The 19,625-nt window shown below is 36.1% G+C and overlaps 1 protein-coding gene across 1 annotated transcript in view; it reads left to right on the top strand.

Moving 5' to 3' along the window:
- The window catches only part of KPNA4 (karyopherin subunit alpha 4), a 70,565-nt gene that overhangs the window by 27,076 nt on the left and 23,864 nt on the right, over nt 1-19,625 (top strand). The window contains exons 2-11 of the mRNA NM_002268.5: nt 1,656-1,700; nt 2,599-2,688; nt 2,806-2,835; nt 2,931-2,983; nt 6,939-7,034; nt 7,556-7,641; nt 10,457-10,543; nt 12,389-12,558; nt 12,652-12,696; nt 16,586-16,717. Of these exons, the coding sequence (NP_002259.1) occupies nt 1,656-1,700; nt 2,599-2,688; nt 2,806-2,835; nt 2,931-2,983; nt 6,939-7,034; nt 7,556-7,641; nt 10,457-10,543; nt 12,389-12,558; nt 12,652-12,696; nt 16,586-16,717 (834 nt within the window). The remainder of the gene's footprint in view (nt 1-1,655; nt 1,701-2,598; nt 2,689-2,805; nt 2,836-2,930; nt 2,984-6,938; nt 7,035-7,555; nt 7,642-10,456; nt 10,544-12,388; nt 12,559-12,651; nt 12,697-16,585; nt 16,718-19,625) is intronic.

The raw sequence follows: 19,625 nt of genomic DNA, 5'->3' as shown, positions 1-19,625 counted from the left end.
CCCTGGAATTTAGAAGAAATTACATCTTTATTTTCACTAACTTATAACTGAAGCAGTGTTTCCTTCACTCAATGTAGCCAGTTAACCATAGTAATATTAGAATTACCTGTGACTGTTACCACCAATAAAAATCACCTCTTTGTTGCATTTATGGTCGTCATTACTTTGAAGTTATAGTAGTTACTAGACCCACTGCTAGATCCCATTTAATGTGATAATAAAGAAGCACTTACATTACATTTTTTTATATTTACAGCTCTTTTTTTTACATTTATGTATCAAGATAGTTTCCTTTGTAACTAAATATGTATATATATGTACATATATACACACATATATACATATATATACATATATACATACATATATATACATATATATATATAGTGTGTGTGTGTGTCTGTATTTAAAAACACTATCTGAGAAAGTATCCATTGATTATACCAAACTGCCAAAGGAGTCCATGGCACATAAAAATTAAGACTTCCTATGAGGATTACTCTGGTTGCTGTCATTATACTAGACTCTGGAGGAAGACAGAGGGTAAGAGCAGGAGGGCTACATGTTAGGAGACTTTCACAGTTATCTAGTTGAGAGATAATGGTACGTTGGCCCAGAATAGTAGCAGAGGAGGCAGTGATATGTGTTTGGATTGTATGTCTTGAAGGTTGAACCAACAGGATTTGCTGACAGATTGAATATGTAATGTGAGAGAAAAATAATCAAGGATGGCTCCAAGGTTTTTGGTCTTTGCAGCTGCAAGGATGGAGTTGCCATTTGCTGAGATGGCAGGTGGAGTGTATTAAAGATCAAAAGTTCAGTTTTGGATTTAAGTTTGTGATATTTATTAGACATCTAGTATGACTTTCTGAGTTGTTACCGCTACGTAATACACAGTCATTAGAAAGAATAAGGTGAACCTGTATGTAAAAACAGATTGAACTTATATTGTTTCTGAACATTTGAATGTTTTACAGTGAACACACATGCCTGTAGTAAGTAACTTAAAAAATGAGAAAAATATGTTTAAAAGTAAAAGAATGGCCATGGTGTGCCATAGAAAATTGGGTGACCATGAAAAATAATAAAATAGGTCTTTATACACCACCATGGAATATCTCTAAGTTCTATAAACAAAGTAAACCAAAACAAGGTAAAAAACAGGATAGATAGACGTGTCAGAATCATGGTAAATCTAACAGTGTTTTCTATGAGATAAGGAAATTGTGGGTGAGCAGGAGGGCTCCTTTGGCTTTTTTTCGCTTTTTTTTTTTAAATAGTTGAATTTACTAATCTTGTACGTGTGTTATTTTTTGTAATATCATCGGTTCATATGAGGGGTGAGATTATGGGCTCTTTTATTCTTTGTACCTCTGTATTTTTATAAACCTTATATTATAGTTTTTAAAATTGTGATATAGCCAATATTGTATTAATAATTTCAAAGAGATTTTTCATGTTTTGCAATATGAATGGGAAATGAAGATTGAAAATCATCTACATAGTATGATTTTTATTATGAGTAAGATTTGACTTTATATCCATATGGCTAAAAGAAAAGATTAGAGGTGTATATTGAAATGTTAATAGTGGTTTTCTCTGGATAATGGAATTTGAGGTGATTTTAAAAATATTTTCCTTTAATTTTTTTGTAGACTATGAGAAGACAACGAAATGAAGTTGTAGTTGAATTAAGGAAGGTGAGTCTGATTAATATTGGGTACTTCTAAGCATAATTCTAACAACATTATAGCATTATATACAAGATGCCAAATATATATTATGTTTTTAGGTAAAATGTATAACCTATTGTATAACTAAATTTTATTTACTAAATTTAGTTAAACTTTTTAAAATCTCAACTGCTAAGCATTTTTCTTTAGAAAAAGGAGAGATTTTGACTAAATTTGACAGGCTTTTGAAGTTGAAAGGATACAACTAGTTACTTGTTCATTATGCAAAAACAGATATAAAGAACTTAAAGTATAAGTCATTGAGATACAGTTGTATTAAATAGTTCTGCTATTAATGGGCAGTAGTAAGTCCCTGAAAAGAACTTGTTGCAAACTTCTTCAACTTTTAAGTATTATAGTTGAGAATATATTTATAAATTTGCTCCAAGCATTTTAAGTGAAGTTGAAATGGCCCTTGATTTTTGTAAGACATTGTTGGTTTTTGTCTAACTTTGAACTGCCCAACTTCTGCTTTGACTTTGCTTTTAGGTGGTAAAGAGGAGCTCCCAGATCATGTATAAAATGGTTTAGTACTTTTAAATAAATATTTGTGTTTGGTTCTGGCTTAAACTGTACACTATATTTTTTAGTCAAACTTTTGTTTTTGTTTTGTTTTGTTTGTTTTTACATAGTTCACGGTTCATTAAAAATGTAATATTTGGGAACTGGGACTCAAATTAGTGTTGCGTGAGTGGTTAATTCACAGTTTGGTTTAATTTTTTACATTTGAATTTTACTTTTAAAAGGCACTTCATATTTCAGTTTTTAGGCACAGGATTGCCTGAGCTTTGTATGAAAGTATTCAGGTTTTCTTTTTAACTCAAATTCTCTGTTTGGTTTTTTTTTTTTTTTTTTTTTTTTTAAGAATAAAAGAGATGAACATCTCTTAAAGAGAAGGAATGTACCACATGAAGATATCTGTGAAGACTCTGATATAGATGGTGATTATAGAGTGGTAAGTCATTGTTATTGTTATTCTGGTAACTTAAAAGTACGAGTGAAAGATTTCACATTAATAAGAGAATTTTAAGGTGACTTTTTAACTGAGTTTTCTCTTTAACTTTTTTCCCAGCAAAATACCTCTCTAGAAGCTATTGTTCAAGTAAGTTGGATTTTTTCCCTCTCTTCATTTGCATTTCTTGTCCTCAACAGCTAATCGTGATATATTTACATCATAAATTATTTTATTTTTTATAGAATGCTTCAAGTGATAACCAAGGAATTCAATTAAGTGCAGTTCAAGCTGCTAGGTAAGTTGAATTTGGAAGACATGTTTAGATTTTACAACTTACACAGGGGTTCTATTTTGAATTTTTACTATTGAGTAGTCCCTGTTAATCAAATTTAACTTGATGACAAACAATAGTAAATAGTAATAGATCAACTAAATTTATTTTTTTAATTCTGTGGTTTAGAATATTAAAATTGGTGACAGTTTTTTAAACAATTTTTATTTTTAGTTGAAAGTGTACACTGAAGGTTTAATATACATAATGCATACAGATGCCAAGGAAAGTTGATTTAACAAATTAATGCCATAGAGTAAGAGAAAAACATTATTTGTAAAGCTTTACCTTTTACTAATGAATAGGTTTAATTTTATAAAGTCAGATTCTTCAGATCCTTACCAGGTATCTTAATTCTTCTCACAATCCTCATATTGATCAAACAATAAATCCAGAATTATAATGTTACTATGTCAGTGTACATAGACAAGTAGATGTAGATTAAGATTAATGACGGCCGGGCGAGGTGGCTCACACCTGTAATCCCAGCACTTTGGGAGGCCGAGGTGGGCGGATCGTGAGGTCAGAAGTTTGAGACCAGCCTGGCCAACATACTGAAACCCCGTCTCTACTAAAAATACAAAAATTAGCCCAGCATGGTTGTGGGCACCTGTAATTCCAGCTACTTGGGAGGCTGAGGCAGGAGAATCATAACTCCATCTCAAAAAAAAAAGAGATTAATGACTGCATACACTCCCAGTGTCTTTCCAGGTAGGAAATACCAAGTTGTTTGAACATTTCTTTTTTTTTTTTTTTTTCTGAGATGGAGTCTCACTCTGTCGCCCAGGCTGGAGTCCAGTGGCGCAATCTCAGCTCACTGCAACCTCTGCCTCCCGGGTTCAAGCATTTCTCTGCCTCAGCCTCCCAAGTAGATGGGATTACAGGCGCCCGCCACCATGCCTGGCTAATTTTTGTATTTTTAGTAGAGACAGGGTTTCACCATCTTGGCCAGGCTGGTCTTGAACTCCTGACCTTGTGATCCACCTGCCTCAGCCTCCCAAAGTGCTGGGATTACAGGCGTGAACCACCATACCCTGCCTGTTTTGCACATTTCTATTGTAAAACCTATGCTCTCATATTTTAAGGGAAGAGGCAGAAAAATCTATTACTGAGACCTTTGTATTAATAAATAGGTTGGGGAAGACATGGTTGTATCATAATGCAATTTAGTGGTTGCTTTGTATATTTATGAATATAAGAATAACACCCTATGTTGAGTTTATCAGTAGGAAAGAGACAAGTAAGAAACTGATCCTAGTTACAGAATTTGAAAGTGGAAAAAGTTTGTAGGTCTATCCAATACCTTATCCAGTGCTGCACGAATCTGTTTTATATTTATTAGACTTTTCCAGTATTTGTTTATTCACCTTAAATAACTTAGAACTGATAGGGAAGTTATAAAATTACAGTATTGTGTACCAGAGGTAAAAGAACTTCTTAGAGAGGAATTCTTTATGTAGGCAGAAAAATCTCAGAACCATTCACATTGCAAAATAGCAAATTAATGTTTATAGGAAGAATGATTAAGAAATCGATTATGCTCACCATTGTCAGAGTTGAATATTGGATAGTTTTGGGACAGTTCTTCTCAACATGCAATCTGCAAGAAAATTAAAGCCCAGTGTACCCTAAGAGGTTTTCAAAGTATGATCTGTGGATCACTGGGAGATTCCAAGACAATTTCATGGGTATGCAAGAGCAAACTGATTTTCAAAATAATTCTAAGACTTCATTTGCCTTTTTTTCACTGTGTTAATGTTTACACTGGTATTGCAAAGCAACTGTGAGTAAAATTGCGGGCTCCTTAATGCAAATCAAGACAGTGGCACCAAACTGGTTTTATATTATATTTTGTAAAAATTATATTATTCACCATTATGTAAAGAATAAAAGACATTTCTCTTCTAAAATATCCTCAGTGAAGTGTAAAAAAAATTTTTTAAATTAAATTTTGACCCTTGATCTCATGAAACCTTGTTTGAGAAGGCTGGGTTAAGACTTCTTCGAAGTGGTTTTTTTTTTTTTTTTAAATTTCCACTTAATGCTAAGCACTGTGCCATGTGTTGAGGAAATAGCATGTGGTATAATTCTTTCTCTTTAAGAACTTTATAAGCTAATTGGAAAGGCAAAACTGTATTTTAAAAAATAGGGGGCTGGGCGCGGTGGCTTAACGCCTGTAATCCCAGCAGTTTGGGACGCCGAGGCCAGGGGATCACTTGAGGTCAGGAGTTTGAGACCAGCCTGGCCAGCATGGTGAAACCCCCGTCTCTACTAAAAATATAAAAGTTGGCTGGGTGTAGTGTCACATGCCTGTAATCCCAGCTACTTGGGAGGCTGAGGTGGGAGAATTGCTCGAACCTGGGAAGCAGAGGTTGTAGTGAGCCAAGGTGGCACCACTGCACTCCAGCCTGAGTGACAGACTGAGACCCTGTCTCAAAAAAAATAAGTAGTGATAGCACCAAACGTAGGGCTATGCTGTATAAATCCTCTTGAAATTCAAAGATGGTGTTATGTAAAACATAGAACTTGAAATGGACTTTGAATAGAGTTTGAATACATAGAAGACCGGGCATTTCAAGTGAGGGGTTTAGGATAGGTTCAGTCTTATTTCAGTTGAAATGCTGTGACAGACAACTAACCTATTGTTTAGTTACACAGAATAAGATTAGTTATAAGATGGAGCCAACTTGTGAAGTAGTTTAAAGCTAGGTCAAGGAGTTTACATTGATAAAGGTAGTAAATAAGCAGCCATCACATAGTTTATATAGGGAAATGATTTGGTTAAGCTTTCATAAACATTGCTTTTATATAGTAATACAGGGTGTTCCAGTGGGTAAAGATATGATTAGGCCACACTGAGGACTTATCAGCTAAACCTGTAGTCTCCCACATGTGAAAATAGACACTAGGTTTTGTTTTTATCTTATAAGCTCCATGAGAGCAGTGATGTGTCTGTCTTTTTTACCTCAGATTCTCTAGCATCTCTCTGGCTGTTTTCCTATCAGTTGCTGTGCTTATTCCATTTCTCTTTAGTTGCTGAGATGAAAATGTTGTTGAACTTTTATGGCCTTAAATTTGGTGTGTAAAGTAGAAGGAAGAATTAGGGACTAATATCAGCTATAACATATTTCAGCAGACTACCTGCTTTTGTCATTTGACTCTCTTGTGACCTAGTGTGAATAATTTTGGATATTTTGGTGACCTCTTAATTCCTTTCTTAGCAAGGTAAAAGCTGTGTTGAAGAAATCTGCCCATTTTTTTCTCTGAACTCAAAATTATGTCCAAAAGTAACATGTATTTTTTAAAAATTAGTTTTCTTTTTATAAGTCACAATCAGGACTTTACTGAGGGAATAATAATGTTGTACCATTAAAAGTAGTAAAGTGGCCAGGCTCCGTGGCTCACGCCGGTAATCCCAGCACTTTGGGAGGCCAAGACGGGTGGATCACCTGAAGTCAGGAGTTCAAGACCAGCCTGGCAAACATGAGGAAACTCCGTCTCTACTAAAAATACAAAAATAGCTGGGTGTGGTGGCGCACGCCTGTAATCCCAGCTACTCAGGAGACTGAGGCAGGAGAATCACTGGAACCCAGAAGGCAGAGCTTGCAGTGAGCCAAGACTGTGCCACTGCACTCTAGCCTGGGCAACAGAGTGAGACTCCATCTCAAAAAAAAAAAGGTAGTAAAGTGGTTCATATCTACATTCTTATTTTTCTAATTATTTGTCATCTCTATAAATTTAATTTGTATATCTTTTTATAAATTTAGAGAAAAGGTTGCATTATATAAATTGTTAATTTCAGAGAAGGCACTTGTACCAAATATTCAGATTTATGTTAATATTTGTCAAATATGAATTTATATTTAATCATAATATTGTATGTTATTAAGTTTCACAGGAGTGTTTTTATCTCTTACAGGAAGCTTTTGTCCAGTGATCGAAATCCACCAATTGATGACTTAATAAAATCTGGAATATTGCCCATTTTAGTCCATTGTCTTGAAAGAGATGACAAGTGAGTACATTATTTATTTTTTTTTTTTTAATTTAGAATGTATCCTTTGGAGAAGACAAGACTCTAGTAATTAGTTTGATCTTTAAAGAAAGAAGAAAAGGGCTATGGGATGGAGTTGAAAAGTCAAAGTGAAAAGCAGTGCAAGGTTTGTTAACACCAAGAGATGAAGGTAGTAGCCAAAAAAGGAACTTGAGAATGATAAATTTAACTTTTATGCTTTGAAAATTGGCAAGAACTAGTTTGACCAGATAGGTACTTGAGAAAACTGTTTGGGGAGTAGTATGCAAGTATCTTAAAAAAGATTTCTTACTAAAAATCAGGATGCTGGAGGAGGTTGTATGCTTTTTATACTGAAGAGATGTTTTAAACAGTTGTTGAGGGTTAAAAAAATATGCTGGATGGATAGATAACTTTTGAAACAAAATATTTAATGCATTTTAAATGGTAGAAGGAAGAATGGTTAGATATTTGGCCCAATGTAAAAATCCCTGCTGTTTAAAAATACTTGTTTTTTTTTGTAGTCCTTCTTTACAGTTTGAAGCTGCATGGGCTTTGACAAACATTGCATCTGGAACTTCTGAACAAACTCAAGCAGTAGTTCAGTCCAGTAAGTTGGTTATTAATAAACATAATTGTGATTTTTTTTAAAAGAAGTCGGTAAAAAATAGTGATCTTCCCAAAAGACTATGGCAATTTAAATTATAAAATAATAGCTACTACGTAGTTATTGAAATAGGTCAACTTAAGTATGTTACTTTAATCTTCTTATTCTGGTGACTGATGTTTTTTGTATTTCCAAAAATTCACTTGATTCCTTTCTAAATATGAGAACATTTCCTAATTATAGTAGCAGATTACATTATTATTGTTACACTTTATTTATAGGACATCAGTAGAAATAAAGGAGTTTTTCCTGTTGCCACATTGCCTCTCAGCCTCTCTTTTTTTGTTTTTGTTTTTTTGTTGTTGTTGTTTTTCTTTCTCAGACAAGATCTTACTCTTTTGGCCAGGCTGGAATACAATGGCACAATCTCAGCTCACTGTAGCCTCGGCCTCCCAGGCTCAAGAGACCCTTCCGCATCAGTCCACCAAGTAGCTGGGACTACAGGCATGTGCCACTGTGCCTAGCTAATTTTTGTAATATTTTTGTGTTTTTTGTAGAGACAGGGTTTCACCATGTTGCCCAGGCTGGTCTCTAACTCTGGGCTCAAGTGATCAACCTGCTTTGGCCTCCCAGTGTGCTGGGATTATAGGCATGAGCCACCACACCGGGCCTCAGCCTCTCTTAATGAGATTTTTCTCTTTTTTTTTTTTTTTTTTTTTTTTTGAGATGGAGTCTCACTCTGTCGCCCAGGCTGGAGTGCAGTGATGCGATCTCGGCTCACTGCAAGCTCCACCTCCCGGGTTCATGCCATTCTCCTGCTTCCGTCTCCCAAGTACCTGGGGCTACAGGCGCCCACCACCACGCCCGGCTAGTTTTTTGTATTTTTAGTAGAGACGGGGTTTCACTGTGTTAGCCAGGATGGTCTCGGTCTCGATCTCCTGACCTCATGATCCGCCTGCCTCGGCCTCCCAAAGTGCTGGGATTACAGGTGTGAGCCACCACGCCCGGCCATATCATATATTTTAAAGAAATCTTCTATAAAGTAGTCCTAGTTGAAAGAATGGCTCGAATTTTTTTTTCATTGTTATTATAATAGGATTGCTTTTTTTTGTTTCAAGAAATGTAAGTGGAAAATTATTGGAAGTAAGAACCCGAGTGTATTGTCTTCATGAATAGTATTTGATTGTTCTACCAAACAAAGAAATTAATAATTTTAAAGAAGATACTTTTAAAATCCTCTTTAAATATGTAAGCAGCATACTTCTCTGAGCTTATTAAAAATGTAAGCACTAATTTGTACATTTTGAAGGGGAACAAAGATGTTATCCAAATAATCATTTTACTGTAGACACTTATGTTGTAATATTACTTAGAAAAGATAATTACCTCACATCCTATTAAAACTGGTTTGGTTTTGGGTTCAGGTGGTTTTTATTGTGGTTTTTTGGTTTTGTATAGCTGACTCTTAGGAAAATTTTTGGTTTCATAACAATGTTTTATTCCCTCTCACACTTTTTCCTTTCTGTTATGTATGCTCTCTAAAGATTAGAAAGAGGCTTAGAATTTTTTTGACCCTGCTAGTCTGCTTTAATATACCAAAAATAATAAATAAATAAATAAATGAGGTTGGGCATGGTGGCTCATGCCAGTAATTCTAGCACTTAGGGAGGCTGAGGCAGGCAGATTACTGGAGTCCAGGAGCTAGAGACCAGCCTGGGCAACATGGTAAAACCCCATCTCTACAAAATGCAGGAAAAAAAAATTAGCCGGGCTTGGTGGCATGCACCTATAGTCCCAACAACCCAGGAGGCTGAGGTAGGAGGATCACTTAAGCCAGGGGAGGTCAAGGCTGCAGTGACCTGTGGTGACACCACTGAACTCCAGTCTGGGCAGCAGAGTAAGGCACTATCTCAAAAACAAACCCATAAGTGAATTACCTTTTATGATATTACAAGCATGATTGAGCTACATATACTTAAATAGTGCTTTTTAAAGTAATATCAGAAGGAAAGAAGAAGAATCATTTGTTCAGTGCAGTATTTTGTTCAGATACAGACCTATCTCTGTTTCCCATCCTGTTGAGTAACAGAATCACTTTCTGATTCGGAAGATCCCACATGGCCCAGGAATCACTGGCCTGTCTTAAAGACCCACATGTTGTTAACATAAATTTGTGTTCAAAAGTTACTTCAGGCCGGGTGCAGTGGCTCATGCCTGTAATCCCAGCACTTTGGGAGGCCAAGGCAGGCAGATCACTTGAGGTCATGAGTTTGAGACCAGCCTGGCCAATACGGTGAAACCCTGTCGCTACTAAAAATACAAAAATTAGCCAGGCATGGTGGCTCACACCTGCAGTCCTAGCTACTTGGGAGGGTGAGGCAGGAGAATCACTGAAGCTTGGGAGGCAGAGGTTGCAGTGAGCCAAGATTCCACCGCTTCCCTCCAGCCTGGATGACAGAGTGAGACTCCGTCTCAAAAAAACAAAAAAAAAGTTACTTCAATAATGTACTTTTTTTTTTCAAACTACAGATAATCTATAAGGAATTAATCTTGAAATTAATTCCAGGTTTAATTGTTAATGAAATTTCACAAGCCTAATTTAACACTTGTCTGGATAACTCATTTTGATACTGAGTAAATAGTCACTGGTCAAAATTCTTCCAATGATGCTATTCCAATAAAATTCATTTAATGAGGTTATATTTTAAGTATATTTTTATAGGTTCCCTTTTTTTTGAGGTCTCAGCAAAAAAATAAAGATTGATTTTTGGTTTATGGTATCTTCAACCTTAAGTATTGTTATTTTTTCTTCCATCAGATGCTGTGCCACTTTTCCTGAGGCTTCTCCATTCACCCCATCAGAATGTCTGTGAGCAAGCAGTGTGGGCATTGGGAAATATCATAGGTTTGTATAAAACTTGTAATACTAGTCTAAAAATTGTTATCATATACTAAGTAATAAAAATAGCTACTAGTAATCCAAAAGAGAAAACAGTTTGCCTTCAGTACTAGTTTTTGTGAAATAGCTTACAGAAATTTGAACTGTATTACTGTAAAAGCATAAAGTCATAGTAAATAGAATTTTTGTTGCTTAAGATACCATTTTTTTGGTATATAGTTAGCTCTTAATTATTTGAATAATTATGCAAGATGTATACAATTTAGACCTTCTGTCTCATGCTAGGATCCATTTTTTCTTCCCCTAACCCCCATGTTGATCAGTGGGGTCCCTTTTTATTTCTCAGCTTTCTCCATCAAAGAAAGTAACAAGAAAAAAGACAAAACTTAAACCAATAATTTTTCTCCGTAATGACAGTTCTGAGAAGAGTCTAAAATGAAATTTTTTCTCTCTTGCAGACTTCAGTACATTAGAATTTAGTAATGTATAAAATATAGTAATATTATTTCCTGTCACCATGAATCAACAAGACATAACCATAGCCTTTTGACAGTCTGGTTAAATATTTAACACTGTGATTACTATAACTTTCAGGTTCTCTCTGATAAATAATTGTAAGGAAAATAAAGACAATTCTGATATTTCAAGGATTTGTTTTTTTAACTAGAGCCTAAACTCAAAAATTCAAAGAACTATTCTCCAGTAAAGGATGGAAAAAATCTGAATTGTATTGTGCCCCAGTATAGCTCAGAGACCTAACAGTTATGAGTGGGGGCTGAGGTACTGTTTGTAGGGGTATTGCTAATCTAGTGAAGGAGAATGATTCTAAAGATTATTTTTGCCAAATTCTTTATTCTTGCATGGAAATAATCATTGTTGCTTTGATATGCCATCTCTTTATTGCCCTTATACAGGGCCAACATGAAAGTAAAGAGTGGTTATGAGTTTTTAAGGGAGAATTTCTCTGTAAACCATTCTTGACATTGGGTTTATACTATTAGGAATGCTATTGTTTCTATATCCAGACTCCCTCACTCTTTTGCTTTTATACCAAATGTTAGATTTAGAGCTATTATACAGCATCTTGATCTTTCATTTTTTTATTCCAGTGACATTCCGTAATTAACATGAATATAAAGATGCAAAAAGAACAAACATTTTATCTCCAGATATTATAGTGCAAGGGAAGGTGCTTTCACTTATGGTAACATTTCAACATGGCTTCATATTAGAAACTGCAGTGATGCTTCAGATACAGAAATTAAACTTGGCAGTTCTCTGCAGCAGTGGTTCTCAAACCTTAGCATGCAATCAGGACTACATGGGGTGCTTGTTAAAACACAGAATTCCAAACCCATAGAGTTTCTGCTTCAGGAGGCCTGAGCTAGAGCCCAATAATCACATTGAGAACCACTATTCTAGCACTGGTTCACCCTTTTCTTCTGACATAGTTTTCTAAGTGTATAGAGTAATTTATAGTTCATAACCTTGATGCTCTGATACGGGATCATAAGTACAAATTCAACAAATATTTTCTTGATACATCTTTTTTATCACATGAAAGTTTGTTAAACCAAGAGTATTGTTGAGAGAGAAGTTAAAAGCAGCAGTTTAATTAAGTGAGCAGCAAAATGCTGAAGATGGGAATAATGTGCAAAAGAATACCTTATCACTTTATGTTGCCTCTCTTGGCTCAGAGACCTTGAATGTGAGCCTGCTTGTTATTGTCTAAAACTGAACAGTGTATCTGGATAAAATACATGAAGCAGCATATTCCCAGTGCTTTGTGTTTTCTGAAAATGCTTACTGTCAGTATGTTTTATTGAGTAAATTAATCCTTTTTTTCTACAGGTGATGGGCCCCAGTGTAGAGATTATGTCATAAGTCTTGGAGTTGTGAAACCTTTACTTTCCTTCATAAGTCCATCTATTCCTATAACATTCTTAAGAAATGTTACTTGGGTTATGGTCAACTTATGTCGCCACAAAGACCCACCACCACCAATGGAAACCATTCAGGAGGTAAACACTTTTAAAAAAAAATTAAAAGAGATACCATTATATATATATTTTTTATTTGTGTATGTTTTTAAATCTACATATTTCTCTCCTCAGATTCTTCCAGCCCTTTGTGTTTTAATTCATCACACAGATGTAAATGTGAGTAAATGTGTCCTATTATATATTTATGTATGTATGTATGTATTTCTAGGGCTTCCCCTGTGACATAGGGGAGAAATATTATACTAACACATTGTGTCAGCATACTATCAGATTTTCCCATTTCAAGAGTTATTTTATATTAGATTAGTTATTTTATAATATTTTAATATTTACTCTATGTTTATCTATATCACAAAATATAATACCAGTTAAGAAATCAAGCATAACTGTTATTTTGGTGTGGACAATATTGTATGTATGTGTATATATTAGTGTTATAAAAACTGACATTAAAAGTTTTTAAAGTTGCCAGATAGTGGTGATTTCTCTTACTAAGATCATGTCTTTAATTGTTCTTGTGCTTTTTACAGAAGGTCATTTTGACAGTTTGGCCAATGAAAGCACACACAAATAGTGCTATTTTTGTTTTTTGAAAGATGAAAAAGGAAAATGTTTGTGCATGGATTTGTATTCATATACACATACCAAACCATGGACATCAATTGCCCTTTAATTCCATTTTTATTCTATTTCTCAGTTACAGTGACTGGCAGTGGCTTCATTTATCAAGATAACTTGATTATCCAAACAACAGGAAAAAAAAATCAGTGCAGGCAAGATTTTAAACATAGCAAATATATTTTGCTTATTTTTACTAACACAGATGGCAGAGGAAAAAGCAACTCAGGGAGTATGAATGAGGTGGAAAACTGCCCTGAGTGCTTGTAAAAGCCAGACCAGCCTTTGGTGTGTTAGAGAAACCAGGAATATAATGGGTAAGGGAAAACACATGAATGAAATGTTTAGCAACAATCAGGAACTCATGTGGTTCTTTAAAAACAGTTTGGCATGGTGACCAGTGTTGGACAAGCTGCTTCATTTCTTTACAATTTAAAGGCCTATGCCTTTTGGCCAGAATTTAATTTGTATGGAACAAATTAAAATTAGAATTTTACTGTATCAAACAGTGACATAATATATAAAATTCATTAGATGAACATGATCTCTGTGGTAGAGTTTTTGTTTGTTTTTAGCCCCAGATAGTTTAGGATCTTAAAAAATGTGTAAGTAATTTTTGGTTTTGGCTCCTTAATAGCCAAGTTCTTTGATTAAATTGTGAATTTCAATATTTTGCTTTGAAAGATTTACAAGAGGCCAGGTGTGGTGGCTTATGCCTATTGTCCCAGCACTTTAGGAGGCTGAGGCAGGAGGATCACTTGAGTGCAGGAGTTCGAGACCAGCCTGGGCAACATGACGAAACCCTGTCTCTATGAAAAATACCAAAAAATTAGCCAGGCATAGTGATGTGCACCTGTAGTCTCAGCTACTCAGTGGCTGAGGCAGGAGGATCTCCTGAGCTGGGGAGGTCAAGGCTGCAGTGAACTGTGATCATGTCACTGCACTGCAGCCTGAGTGACAGAGCAAGACCCTGTCTCAAAAATAAATAAATAAATAAATAAATAAAACGATTGGCAAGAAAGATTTAACTTCAAAGTTTATACCTCTACTAGAAAACAAGACATCTTGGTTGACTTTATTTAGAGATAGATTGTGTTCTTTCCACCTATTTACTCCAATCTAGATGAGACTGTGACTCCATTTTCTTGCCTTTGATGTATCTTGAAGAATTTCTCAAGCCTGTTTACATTGTTCTTTTTAGTAACATGATTAACAAATAATATTGCTTACTAAATAATGTGTTAGAAGTTTGATTTGAATTATGATTTTGATCTGAGCATATTAGTGACATGTCCTTTAAAAACATGTATCTAGCTTTTATATACAGTTATGAGCAAGTAACTTGAAATTTTTGGCCTATGTCAACAAATTTTAGCATATGTTAATATTCCAGAAAAGAAACTCAGTTACATTTGCAAATTGAAATTTAGGTTTTTTCACATATATTGATACCATTTTTTTATGTGAATTCTTTTTTTTTTCTTTTTGAGACAGAGTCTCGCACTGTTTCCCAGGCTGGAGTGCAGTGGCATGATCTCCACTCACTGCAACCTCTGCCTCCTGGGTTCCAGCGATTCTCCTGCCTCAGCCTCCCGAGTAGCTGGGTTTACAGATGCCCGCCACCACGCCTGGCTAATTTTTTTGCATTTTTTAGTGGAGACAGGGTTTCACTATGTTGGCCAGGCTGGTCTTGAACTCTTGACCTCGTGATCCACCCACCTTGGCCCCCCAAAGTGCTGGGATTGCAGGCGTGAGCCACCACACCCAGCCTGTGCGAACTCTCATTTGATGTCTTCTTTTTACATTAGAAATATCCTTAGAGCTTTCTTGAATTTCCTAAGAAACAATGGCAAAGCATTATTTTCACCTTTTAGGAGTTTCGGGGTGTCTTTTTGGTTTTTTTTATCTTATTTTTTTATTTTCTCTTGGGTGTCCTAAGCATAACATTAGTTTACAGTTTTACGATTTTTTTAAAGTCAGGGTCATAAAAACAAGAAAAAATAAACAATGCCGAATTGTTTCTGTTTTTCATAGAGACGGGGTTTCACCGTGTTGCCCAGGCTGGTCTGTAACTCCTGGGCTCAAGCAGTCCACCTGCCTTGGTCTCCCAAAGTGCTGGGGTTACAGGCGTGAGCCACTACTCCCTGCCTAGTTTATTGTTTTAAAGGTTTTACACTTCTCCAGCTTGTCTTGACACAGAGTTCATATTCTGGAAAGGCTTTGGAAGTAGTTTTAGGCACAATTATTATTCCCATGTCTTTGTCAATAATTTGTGTATTTATTTGCAGCAGTTACAGTTGTTTGTCATACTGCCCTTTGGTCATAACTTCTAATTAGGACCTAACGTACTAGGAAAGATCAAACACATGGCCTGTTGTACTTAAAGATGTAATCGTTAAAAAAAATGGTAGGCTACTTAGTAGAAGTTGATTACACAGGCTTTTTTTTTTTTTTCATAAGTAGCAGCTGTAGTGAAGTACGTATTTTTTGTTTTAATTACAGGTCTCACAGATTGACCTATGATTATTTTAATGTCTTGATCTGCAGCTGTAGGGGACTTCCACTATTTAAGAAGTTGCTGGCCGGGCGCAGTGGCTTACGCCTGTAATCCCAGCACTTTGGGAGGCCGAGGCGGGCGGATCATGAGGTCAGGAGATCGAGACCATCTTGGCTAACACGGTGAAACCCCGTCTCTACTGAAAAATGCCAAAACTTAGCCAGGCGTTGCGGCATGCGCCTGTAGTCCCAGCTACTCGGGAGGCTGAGGCAGGAGAATGGCATGAACCCGGGAGGCGGAGCTTGCAGTGAACCGAGATCGCGCTGCTGCACTCCAGCCTGGGCGACAGAGCGAGACTCCGTCTCAAAAAAAAAAAAAAGTTGTCTCCAGTTCTGTAAGGCAAAACAAACTGGTTGGAAAAGATTAAAGTATTTTATACTACAATATGAATACTTGGGTTATTGGCTTTAGGCATATCTACATGGTACTTACAATACTAGAGAACTCCTTGAATATATTCATCTAGCCCAGATGTTTTGAACAACTGTGCATGTTGGATACATGTAGTCTTTCCAGCTTTATACATGAGCCACAATGTTTTTGGACCTGTTATCCCTCAGCCTTTGGGAAAGAGAATGTCTTTTTCTCCTGTTTTATGAGCTGTGTAGTGTGCGTGTGTATCTTAGTGAACTAAGATTGGATACTAATCTGGGATCAGAATCCTGAATATGGCTAAAAGATGTACGTCTTAGTACAGACATTTATAGATGATGATGTTTAATACCGTAGCGATCAGATTCCAATGAATTAAACTGAGAGAAGAAAAGAAGGAAGAAGGTAGTTGAACAATTTTAGAATGGTTGTTTGGTCAAGAATTACTAAAATGAGAAAATATTTAAAAGTTGTTTGAATTTTTATTTTATTCATTAGATACTGGTAGACACAGTCTGGGCCCTCTCTTACCTTACTGATGCTGGCAATGAACAAATACAGATGGTAATAGACTCTGGAATAGTTCCTCATTTGGTTCCTCTGCTCAGCCACCAGGAAGTTAAAGTTCAGGTAAGTTTGTTCTTAGTTAAATTATAAGTATTTCTTACCACTAATTGCTTTAAGCATGGCATTCAAAGATGGACAATTTCAGTAGTTTAAAGTATATTCTTAGCATAACAACAAATCTGTGATGGAAAGGGGAAAATAAATAATAAGATGCCATTGTAGATTACTAATTTCTTTTTTTAAGATGGGGTCTCACTGTCACCCAGGCTGGAGTGAGGTGGCGTGATCTCAGCTCACTACAACCTCCACTTCCTAGGTTCAAGGAACATTCTCCCACCTCAGCCTCTTGAGTGGTTGGGATCACAGGCACACACCATCATGTGTAGCTAATTTTTTTCTATTTTTGATACAGTCAGGGTTTTGCCATGTTGGCCAGGCTGCTCTTGAACTCCTGGCCTCAAATGATCCTTCCACCCCAGCCTCCCAAAGTGCTGAGATTACAGGTGTGAACCACCATGCCTGGCCGGATTACTGATTTTTAATGTAGACCAGGGAAGTTCATTATAGCAACATGCATGGCATCTGAAACAAGTATTGACAGACACTTATTTTTTCCTACTCCTCTTCTTTTTGTTCTTCCTCTTTCACTTCCCTACTTCTTTTTTTTTCTTCCTTGCCAACCATCCTTATTTACTCACCTGGCAAGTTTAGTTAACTCTTATCTTCATTGGTGCTGAAATAAGGGTACTCTACTGAAATGTGCTGTTTAGGGACTTTCTAAATTGTTGCTTTTCACTTATTTAAATTTATTTTTTATTGTTTAAATTCTTTCACATAATATTTATCCCAAAGAATTTGCATTTAGAAAGAGCCAAAAACAGAGTGTGAGAAGTTCTCAGAGATATAAGCAGTAGCTGTTAAGCTACAGTTGTAATGGGGGAGACGCAGCAAGCTCCCTCTACCTTTCTGAGGTAAATAGTATATTTTAATCTGCTAATGGCTTAGAATCTGTAAAGTACAATAATCGCATAAGAGAAACCGTTAGTCTGTAGCCTAAGTCATTATGCCTGAACATCAAAATAAACTGTGTGGAGCTGTTTTTAATTTCTCCTGCTCAACCCCTGGAGATTTCTGTTTCAGAAAATATTTCTTAGAAACTTGAGCTTTAAAATGCTCTTCAGGTGATACTGATACATAGTCAGATTAGAGACCCTGTACCTTAAAATTAAAGCACTTTAAAGAAGGAACACTTAGCTAAATACAGAAAGAATTAATATAATTGGCTGGACATGGTGGCTCACGCCTGAAATCCCAGCACTTTGGGAGGCCGAGGTGGGCAGATCACAAGGTCAGGAGACTGAGACCATCCTGGCCAACATGGTGAAACCCTGTCTTTACTAAAATACAAAAAAAAAAAAAAAAATTAGCCAGGCATGGTGGCATGTGCCTGTAGACCTAGCTACTCGGGAGGCTGAGGCAGGGGAATCACTTGAACCCAGGAGGCAGAGGTTGTAGTGAGCCAAGATTGCGCCACTACTCTCCTGCCTGGCAACTGAGCAAGACTCCATCTCAATAAAAAAAAAAAGAAAAAACAATAATTTGTCATTTAAGGCTATTTATGACTTATCTTAAATATTCTTGCCATATGTTTATCCTTAAGTTTGTATTTATTTTGTGTGGTACTTATGTCTTGGTACAGAATTTTGGTTTGTATTTTGTTTTTTGTTTTTCCAGAAATAATCTTCAGTTTTCATAATGGACTTCATTAAGGATCTGTAGGGCTTGGAATTTACCTTTAGCCAGTGCTCAAAGAAAGTTGAAATTCTCTACTCTACCTGACACCTTATAGAGATTTTCTTATACTTTTCAACTTTCATGCCATAATTTCATAAAATAAAATAGTGTAATGGAACCCCATGTAGCTTTTTTCTCTGTACCTCTACTCCTCCAAATTTATTTTGATACAAATTCCAGATATCATTTTACACAGCTTGCAGCTCTAAAATTTAAGCCTATTTTTTTTTTTTTTTTTTTTTTTTTGAGACGGAGTCTCGCTCTGTCGCCCAGGCCGGACTGCGGACTGCAGTGGCACAATCTCGGCTCACTGCAAGCTCCGCTTCCCGGGTTCACGCCATTCTCCTGCCTCAGCCTCCCCAGTAGCTGGGACTACAGGCGCCCACCACCGCGCCCGGCTAATTTTTTGTATTTTTTAGTAGAGACGGGGTTTCACCTTGTTAGCCAGGATGGTCTCGATCTCCTGACCTCATGATCCACCCGCCTCAGCCTCCCAAAGTGCTGGGATTACAGGCGTGAGCCACCGCGCCCGGCCGCCTATTTTTTTTAACATAACCACAATACCACTAGTAGACTTTTTAAAACCTTAATGTTAAATATTCAGTCAGTATCTGGATTTTATTTACTGCTTCATTATTTTTTCACAATTTTACCAAATCAGTATCCAGATAAAGACCACACATTGCATCTGCTTGCTATATATTTTAAGCCTCTTACTGTGCAACTTTCTTCTCCTTTCTTTTATCTTTCCTCTTTTCAATTTATTTGTTAAAGAAGCTAGGCTACTACAAAACATTTTTGGAAAACATTAAAGAAGACCTAAATAAATGGAAAGACATTCATGTTCATGGATTGTCTAATATTGTTAGGATGACCGTGCTTCCCAAGTTTGTCTACAGATTAAACACAATCCCTATTAAAATCCCATGTGCTTTTGGTTTTTGGCAGAATTTTACAAACAGATCTTAAAATCCATATGGAAATATAAGGGGCCTAGAAATAGCCAAATGATCTTGAAGAAGAACAAAGTTTGAGGACTTCTCATTTTCAAAACACTGCAAAGCTACAGTAAATAAAATTTTGTGATACTGGCATAAATATAGACATGCAGATCAATGAGATAGAATCGAGTTCAGAAATAAACCTATGCATTTTATGATTAGTTGATTTACTTTTT

The sequence above is a fragment of the Homo sapiens genome, chromosome 3 (assembly GCF_000001405.40).
Source record: "Homo sapiens chromosome 3, GRCh38.p14 Primary Assembly".
NCBI classification, from domain to species: Eukaryota; Metazoa; Chordata; class Mammalia; order Primates; family Hominidae; genus Homo; species Homo sapiens.
The sequence above is the reverse complement of the archived record's forward strand: the minus strand, read 5'-3'. Positions and strand labels throughout refer to the sequence as shown.